The 10,204-nt window shown below is 37.3% G+C and overlaps 1 annotated feature.

Moving 5' to 3' along the window:
• Positions 277-406: an enhancer, noted in NCBI's record as "active region_20599". NCBI's record gives its function as "activates an Ori minimal core promoter by ATAC-STARR-seq in GM12878 lymphoblastoid cells {active_cell/tissue: GM12878}" and the evidence as "EXISTENCE:reporter gene assay evidence [ECO:0000049][PMID:35858748]".

Consider the following 10,204-nt stretch of genomic DNA (forward strand, 5'->3'; position numbering starts at 1 on the left):
TGCAGCCTCGACCTCCTGGGCTCAAGTGATCCTCCCACCTCAGCCACCCAAGTAGCTAGAACTACAGGCACACGCCACCATGCCCAGCTATTTTTGTATTCTTTTGTAGAGATGGGGTTTTGGCATGTTGTCCAGGCTGGTCTCAAACTCCTGAGCTCAAGCAATTAGCTCACTTTGGCCACCCAAAAAGCTGGGATTACAGGTGTGAGCTACCGCGCCTGGCCTAAAAAAAAATGTCTATGTACCCTAAGAAGTCAGAGGGGAAATGCCTCCTCCATTCATGCATTTAAACACTTTGGTTTGGAAAACACAGTCCCTCTATGGGACCTTTACTACGAATGTTTTGAAGCACCACTGCCTGAAACTCAGGGGTTTTCTGGGACCTGGGACTTTCAGTCACATAACCAGGACAGTCCTGAGCAAATCAGGATGACTGGTCACCCTAGTGCTGTTATCAAGTGACTCAAAAAGCTAACACTGAGCCACAGTGCCCTGTGACCTATAAGCCTATCAGAATCAGTGCAAGATTCTCCCTTGAGATTTACGGGTTTCCCTCTTTCCAATCTCACGTAAGCCCTTCCCACACTGTACTCTGCAATTGAGCACAAGCCGTCAGTCATCACTGTATGACTATGGGGTGTACCTCATATGAACAATAGGTAAATCACAAGCCAGCCTCATGCTGCTCACTTAGCTGGGTCCACATAAGCCAGATCCACTCCAACCAGAGTTTCTAGCTCCCTTTCTCTCCATAAGCTCCACCTCAATGAGCACTCACCAGTTCTTTTAATCACCCTACTTATTCCCCCAGCCCCAAGCTACACATCCTTTCTTCTCTTCTTTTTGCTCCGTTTCAGCTTACTGCATTCTTTTTCCCTCTTTTCTCTTTGGTCCTAAGAAACTCATGCCACTCTCTCTTTGAGCCCCATGTCTGTGCCTTAGCCTCATGGCGCTATTCCTTTCCCCAAAGCCATCAGCCCTCCTACTTGCCAGTCTCCCTCTCTCAAGTTGCTCACACCTCATTTGGCCAACAATCTCTAAACAGGGAGTGTACACAGCCCAGGAAAATAATCCACAGGAAGATAATCTCAAAACTTCTATTTATAATCATTTTTGTATTGTCCTCATTTAATTTTCATGTCAGGGTATGTTTTATAATGTATCTAATACATAAAATATATTAGCACATATACAGTCATGTGTCACTTAACGATGGGGATACATTCTAAGAAATGCATCATTAGGTGACTTTGTTGTTGTGTGAACATCACAGAGTCAACTTACACAAACCTGTATGGTATAACCTACTACACACCTAGGCCATATGGTATAGCCTATTGCTCCTAGGCTACAAACCTGTACAGTATGTTACTGTAATGAATACTGTAATCAGTGTAACACAATGGTAAGTATTTATGTGTCTAAACATATCTAAACATAAAAAGGTACAGTAAAAATATGATATAAAAGATTTTTTTTAATGCTGCACCTGGATAGGGCATTTACCATGGATAGAGCTTACAGGACTGTAAGTTGCCCCGGGTGAGTTAGTGAATGAGTGGGAAGTGAATGTGAAGGCCTAGGACATTACTGTAGACCACTATAGACTTTACAAACACCATACACTTAGGCTACACTAGATTTATTTTTTCAAATTTTTTCTTCAATAATAAATTAATCTGAGCTTACTGTAACATTTTTACTTTATAAGCTTTTTAATTATTTTTAACTTTTGGACTCTTGTAATACTACTTAGGTTAAGACACAAACACATTTTGTACAGCTGCATAAATTTTTTTTTATATATTAATTTTTCCTTTTTTTTTACTTTTTAAACATTTAAAAAAAGAATTAAGACACACACGCATTAGCATAGGCCTACATAGGGTCAGAATAATCAATATCATTGTCTTTCACTTCCACATCTTGTCCCACTGGAAGGTCTTCAGGAGCAATAACACTCATGGAGCTGTCATTTCCTGTGATAACAATATAGCCTTCTGGAATTCCTCCTGAAGTACCTGCCTGGGGCTGTTTTACAGTGAACTATTTGTAGTAAGTAGAAGGAGTACACCCCAACAATAAAAAGCATAGTATAGTAAATATGTAAGAGTAGTAACATAGTCATTTATTTTCACTATCAAGTAGTATGTATTGTTTGTATATAATCGTTATGTGCTGTATACTCTTATATGACTGGCAGTGCAGTAGCTTTGTTTACACCAGTATCACCATAAACACGCAAGTAATGCATTATGCTATGATGTTATGATGGCTGCAATGTCACTAGGCAATAAAAGTTTTTCAGCTCTATTATTATCTCTAGGGCCTACCATCATAAGTGCAGTTCATCATTAACCAAAACGTTGTTATTCAATGCATGACTGTATACCATTTATAAATAATTACACATATCTGAGGACAAAAATTGTACCTTAATAATTTCCATAGCCCCAGCCCTTAGTGCATTACCTGACTCAACAATTGCTTTTTAGACAAATACATTCATGAATTAATCAAACGAATCTCATGCAATCAATCAATCAACCAATGTTCCTTAGTCCTTGTCCACAGAACATTCTAAATGAGCCACTTGTGAGTTCATAGTCATGGTCCTTAGGGACTTTTCATTGCTTTTCTTCTCTTCTGTCCCTGATGTGAATGACTTTTCACCAGACACCCTGTCCCCACTTCTACCCACCTCAGTTCCTGCACCCTCAGTCAGATCATCTGGAGTCCTCAAGATCTTCTCTCTTTGCCTGTCTACATATTCTCCCAAATTCAGCATCTTTCCTCAAGATCACCTGGACCTCAAAAGTCACACTTCTGGCCCCCCTATCCTGGCATTGCTCCTCCTCAACAAACTTATTAGCAAGCATCTCACCAGCTGAAGGTCAGCTACTAACCCTGCAACTCCAAGCATCTGCACCCATGCTGGTTCATGGACTATGTTGGTCCATGATGATGGTTTCCTTATGTGAAAAGAAATTAGATAAAAAATGAGGACAATGTTAAACATAGATACAAATGATATATATCATTTATATATTATATATATCATCATACATATATCATTTGTACCTATGTTTAACATAGGTACAAATATATATATTATAATATATATTTTATATATATCTTACCTGTTGAAGACTGTCCTTTATTCTGAGATTGTGGTTTTCTATCATTTCACATTAAAATATTATTTATCTTATAAATGATGTGATATGGTCATTAGTTATTGTCCTTACTTAACAAAATAATGATTTGCCAGTCCTCTTTGAGTCCTGGAATCCTTTATATAAAATTTACTCATTTATAAAATCCAAAAGTCTAGGGATTGCCAAACCACCAGCAAACAGACAATGTTTTGTTTGATTTGTTTTTAAGGTGGAGAGAGAAGTTGATTCCCAGGGTAAAATATAAATAATTCAGAAGAGGTTGCAGACGAAGCCTTCCTGATCATGCCTTAGCACATCTCTTTCCTACTGGCATATTTTAGAGATGTGAGAGCACATGAGGACCTGGGGCAATGAGCATCCATGAGGAGGAAAGTTCTCAGAAAAAGACAGACAGATGAGGGTCGGGGAGCCTGAAGATCATGTGTGGTGTCATCACACCCTTGCCAAAGGCTGATTCTGTCTTAGAATTCTTGTCCTAGAAAGGCCTCCTGTATCTCAGGGTACATCTTAACATAGACATGTGCTGGCAACTGGGAAAACATGGTATTATGGATAATGTTCATAGTTTTGTTGCATCTTGCTTTATGTCAATGGAAGCAATGTTTGAGTTTACCAACCAAAACCCTGCTTGGCAAACAAACAGATCTATTTCGTGTCTAGCCTGAGAAAATACATATTGTTTAAATTCTTTCCAAATATGCCTGAATTTATGAACTGCTTTTAGGTGTATTTTTTATCGAAAATCCATATGCTATTAGTCACTCAAACTGGGGCTCAAAAATATAGCAAGAACTAGGAAGCCAGTGAATAATACTGGGCATATTTTGGTTTGCCATGCTTTCTGGCTTTAGAATGGAACCTTGAGTCTGCAAATTGGGGAGGGTGCTTGAGCCATTTATACCTCCTGTCTACAGTCAAGGGAGTGATGTCTTGTTACTCCCACAAGCCAAACCAAGTGGAAATGAGTCACTACTTAGCTGAATGCTGTCCTTAGAACGCCCACCTTAGGCTGAAACTCGGAGTTCAATGGTCGTTTTTCTGAGTTATATCTGACCCATGAGCTTATGACAAGAACATTCCGAGTTTCCCCTCAAGAATCTGGGATGGGCATTTTTTTCTGGAAAGAGCAGGTGGGCTCTCTCTTCTGGAAAATTGAATTTTTTTTCAGAGCCCACACTTAGTGCTAGAGACCTCTGAACATAGTGGTATTTAGACTGTTATTTTTCAAACTGTTCCTATACTGTAGGTGAGAAATATTCTCTATGTGCCTGGGAATAAGATCAGTAAAATGGGGCAAATAAAATCCCTCAACACCGTTAGAGTTAGCACAGACACTTAGATTGTTTCTGCATCTTGGCTATTATAAACAGTGCTGCAATGAACATGAGTGCACAGATATCTCTTTGAGGTTCTGATTTCATTTCCTTTGCGTATATATCCAGAAGAGGGACTTCTGGATCTTATGGTAGCTCTATTTTTAATTTTTTTGAGGAAACTCCAGAATGGGTTTCCGGGATGGGTGTAACAATTTACATTCCCACCAACAGCGTACAATAATTTCATTTTCTCCACATCCTCGCCAACACTTACTATCTTTTATCTTTTTGACAATAGTCTTCCTAACAAATGTGAGGTGATATTTTATTATTGCTTTGATTTGAATATCCCTGATGATAATGATGTTGAGCACTTTTTCATATATCTGTTGTCAGTTTGTATGTCTTCTTTAGGAAAATGTCTATTCAGGTCATTTGCCCATTTTTTAAATCCAGTTGTTTTTTTATTTGCTATTAAGTTGTGTGAGTCCCTATATATCTTTTATATTAACCCCTTATCAGCTATACTGTCTGCAAATATTTTCCCCTAATCTAGGTTGTCTTTTCATTTTGTTAATTGTTTGCGTTGCTGTGCAGAAGCAAATGTAGTCCCACTTGGCTATTTTTAGCTTGATGTAGTCCCACTTGGCTATTTTTCCTACTGTCGCCTGAGCTTTTGGTGTCATATAAAAAGAAAATTATCAAGATGAAAGTCAACAAGCTTTTTCCTGATGTTTTCTTTAAGGAGTTTTATGGCTTCAGGCCCTACATTTAAGTCTTTAATCCAATTTGAACTTATTTTTGTATATGGTATAAGGTAAGGGCCCAATTCTATTCTTTTGTATGTGAATATCCAGTTATCCCAACACAATTTACTACCCTTTCTTTTTTGTGTATTTTTGATGCCCTTGTCAAAAATTAGTTGACTGTATATTGCTTGGAATTATTTCTGTCCTCCATATTTTGTTCCACTGGTCTATGTGTCTGTTTTTATGTCTGTACCATACTGTTTTGATTACTATAGTTTTGTAATATAATTTGAAGTCAGGAAGTGTGATGTCTCCAACTGTGTTCTTCTTCCTCAAGATTGCTTTGGCTCTTTAGGGTCTTTTGTGGTTTCATACAAATTTTAGAATATTTTTTCATTTCTGTGAAAAATGGCACTGGAGTTTGATAGGGGTTATGCTGAATCTGTGTATCACTTTGAGTAGTACGGACATTTTAACAATATTAATTCTTCCAATCCATGAACAAGAGACATCTTTCCATTTATTTGTGTCTTCGATTTCTTTCATTGATGTTTTAGAGTTTTCAGGCTACAGATCTCTCACCTCCTTGGTTAAATTTACTCCAAAATATTTTATTCTTTTTGATGCTATTACAAACGGTATTTTTTTTCTTGATTTCCTTTTTGGATAGATCATGATTGGTGTAAAAATGCACAACTAACTTTTGTGTTTCTTTTGTATCCTGCAACATTACTGAATTCATTTGTTAGTTTTAACAGGTTTTTTGTGGAGTCTTAAGGAGTTTATATATGGGATCATATTATCTGAAAACAGATCATTTTACCTCTTTCTTTCCAAATTGGATGTATTTTGCTTCTTTTCCTTGTCTGATTGCTCATGCTAATTCTTCCATTTTAAAATCAGGTTGTATTTTTTTTATTGCTGAGTTTTAAGAGTTCTTAGTATATTTTAGATAAGAATCTTGTACCAGATGTCTTTTGCAAATATTTTATCTCAGTCTGTGGCTTGTCTTCTCAATGTTTTGAGTTAGTAATTATTTTTATTATCAGTCTTTAAAGATATAATTCTATTCTTCTGGCTTCAGTTGTTGCAATTGATAAAATAGCTGCAATTCCTTTCTCTCAGGATTTTACAGATGTAATTAAAGTTACTAATCAGCTGACCTTAAAGGTTTTAAAGGTTTTTCTCTTTGACTTTGGTGTTTTTCAATACTACAATACATCCAGGTGTGAATTTGTTTTTATTTACCATTCTTGGAACTCATTTAACAACATTAACATGGAATTTATGCTTTTCATTCATTCTTGAAAATCCTTAGCCAATAACTCATCAAATATTTTTTTCATTCTATTTATTGTCTTCTTATACTCCTATTAGATGTGTGTTGGAATTTCTCATTCATTTTTCCATTCTCTTACTACTGTTTCATGTTTTCCACCTCTTTATTTCTCTGTCTACATTTTGCATAATTTTTTCAGTTCTATTTTTTACTTTATGAGTATTACCTTCAGCTGTGTTTAATCTGTTAATTATCTGTTTTTAGTTTTCTACTGCTGTCATAACAAATTTCCAGAAACTTAGCAGCTTCAAATAACACCCATTTATTATCTCACAGTTTCTATAAATCAGATGTCTAGCATGATATTGATTTTTGCATATGGTGTAAGATAAGGGCCCAATTAGTTTTGGGATATTCTGTTTAAGGAATTGCTGAGCTTCAATTAAGGTATTTGCCATGCCTGTGGTTCTTATATGGGACTTGGAGGGTTCTTCCAAACTCACTGTTGGTTGGAAGAATTCAGTTCTTTGCAGTTGCAGGGCTGAAGTTCCTGCTTCCCTGTCATGTGATCTCCTTTCATCTTCAAGGTAAAAATTGTGCATCAAATCCTTCTCATTCTTGAGATCTCTCTAACTTAACTTTCTGCTACATCTCTCCCACTCCATGTTCTACCTTTTTCTGCTGCTTTTTAGGGTTTATATGATTACATTGGGCTTTCCTGGATAATCTAAAATAATCTCTTTATATTAAGGTCAGCTGATTAGTAACTTTAATTACATCTGTAAAATCCTTTTTGCCATGTAATATATTATAGCCATGGGAGTAACACAAAGGCCAGAGATCACTGGGAAAGAGGGCAAAATTGTGCCTACCACACTATCCATTGAAGTTTTGTTTCATTATCTATATCCTTAATTTCTAGAAATTCTAGTGGGGAAGTTGTCAGATCTTCCTGTTCTTTTTTTATGGTGACTTTTATTTACTTATGGTTTTAGTTCCTTCTTTTATGATTTAACTGTATTATCTGATTCAAGAAGGGGTTTCTTGTAAGCATTAAAGTCTTATGATAGTATTCATAAGTAATGTGCCAGAGTCAGCTTGCAAGAGTTGATTCCATGCATCTCTTCCCATCTTTGCATTTAGTGACTTTACATTCACATTAGTAGATTGAAATCAGCCATGGTAGGAGAATTGGCAAAGACTACAAATCAGAGTAATTCTTTTTTTCTTTTTAGAGTTGGTTTACTAGTATACCACTGGGTTTACTAGTACACCACTGTTTATAGCAGATTTTGAATTTTGGGTTTTGAGCTCAAGTTTGACAGGACTTTAAATGTCGAAATCTTATGCAACCTGCATTGAGGGTTTTGCAGTTGCCTCTGCAAATCATTCTAGATGTGTTATCAGCCTGGAATCACCTTTTAAAGCTACTTTCTTAGTGTAGGAGCTCCAGGGCCATGATGTTCAGGGTACAAATTCAAACCCCAGTCACATTACAGAAAGAGGCTTTTGGTAATATAGTCTCAGAAGATTTTTTTCAATTTTTTTCACACATGGACCAGCTCAGGCAAAGCCTAACAAGCTTCCTTGTTTTCTCTCTGGGCCAGTGAACTGATTTTTCTAGTTCGTTTCTTCACTGTATGAATTTTTTAATAGATTATTGAGGGAATCTAAGACAATAGTTTTCAAATTATGTTCCCTGGATCCCTGTGGGATTCTAATAAGTGATCTTAGAGGCTACTTCATGGAGCAAGAGAAAAGTTTCTTCATCCCATAAATCAGAGTAGCATGCCCTTCCTCCTGCCCTCCCACTGCCACACAAGCATATACATGCACACACACATGAATGCACACACACACACACTTTTAATCTAAACGATATATTTGTCTTCCTGACAATATCATAGTCAAAGAAAGAGGTACCTCTTTTTTACAATTATGAACTAACATATTCCAAAATCTTAACTTTAGAAATGGAAAGACTAGAACACAGAGATGTTAGCCAACAACATATAATATAGCTCTGTGAGTTGGTGAAAAAAGTTGAGACTTGAGTCCAGGTTCAAAATAAGTAGGAATAATATTTGGACAAAAAAAAACCTTTAAGCCTTTTTGTAACTAGAGACACTTTGTGTGAGTAGGCTGCAGTTTAATTTCTGGATCAATGTGAAGAAACACAATGTGAGAGTGATCATCAATTGCTACAGCTTTCAATTATATTATCAGTCTGCCCTAGTAATATTTCCTAGTATTTTCTGAGTACAGTGCTCCATATGTAATGCTCAACATTTCACATGTATTTTCACATTTAATGTACAAAACAATCCAGAGAGATAAGCACTATTATTACCTCATTTTACATATGAAGATAATGTGGCTCAAAGAGGTTAAGTATTTAGCTGCTACCCATCCACAGCTAGTAAGCAATGGAGTGGGGCTTGAACCCAAGCTGTGTAGTTCCAGAGCCCAAAGCCCTTCTTGCTTCTTACCTCTGCTATCTTCCTTCCTGCATGGTTTCTCCATTGATTAAGGCAGTCAGGTGCCACAGAAGCTGCAAACAGTTTAACCACATTAACTAGTCAATTCTATCAAATAACTACTACAGCTGATTCTCATTAACCATGTGTACCATATTTTCAAATTTGCCTACTTGCTAAAACTTATTTTAACTCCAAAATCAATACTCATGGCACTGCTGCAGTCATAACAGCATGTGCCGAGGGTGAAAATTTTGCATTGCCCAAGTTGCATGTTCCCAGCTGAGGTCCAGTAACGTGAAAATCTTCCTTCTTTTTTCAGCTCTCATACGGTAAACAAGTGTCCTCTTTGAAGTATGTGTACCGCCACGTTTTTCACATTTTTGTGCTTTTTGTTGATTTCACTGTTTAAAATGGCCCCCAAGCATAGTACAGAAGCACTGATTACTGTTTAGAAGCACAGGCAGGCTGTGCTGTGCCTTATGGAGAAAATATGTGTGTTAGATAAGCTTCATTCAGGCATGAATTTCACTGCTGTTGGCTGTGAGTCCAATGCTAATGAACCAACAATTTATATTAAATAAGCTGTTTTTAAACAGAAATACACATACAGTAAGTTTATCTACTGATGATGAAAATGTTGTGACCAGAGGCTTGCAGGAGCCTGACCCTGTACTTCCCCTATGGGCAATGATTCAGTATTCACTAATTCGGTGTTCTTTGTGACTTTATAGAACGTAACTACCATGATTAACTAGAATCAACTATACCTTATTATGCCTCATAACCGGCCTTGCCTAAGTTTTTTAACTAAGGTGGCAGCATGTATCTCAGTCCCCAGGGCCACATGGATGAAGCCCTTGTATCTCCAAGTATTTTGTGGCTTAACTACTGGAAGCCCTGCCTGACCAATCTGCAGTGCCTTCCGGGCAACCACCTCTGCACTTGCTTTACCCTCTACAGAGGGGAGCCTGGTTAATCAGGAAAGAAACTCCCTCAAAAGGTAAACAGTGAGTAGAGTGTACATATGGTGGAAAACAAATGACTCTTGGTACCCTATTGTGGGAATTATCTCACTTCAATAGATAAAGGAGTAGGGCAAGCCCAGGTGGCACTGGTGAGTAACCGCCTCCATTACATGGTCCGTTCCTGACGTGTACACCAGCCTCTCAGAGAAAACTCCATCCCTACACTCGGTAGTCTC

This window comes from Homo sapiens, chromosome 3 (genome assembly GCF_000001405.40).
Source record: "Homo sapiens chromosome 3, GRCh38.p14 Primary Assembly".
Lineage (NCBI taxonomy): Eukaryota > Metazoa > Chordata > Mammalia > Primates > Hominidae > Homo > Homo sapiens.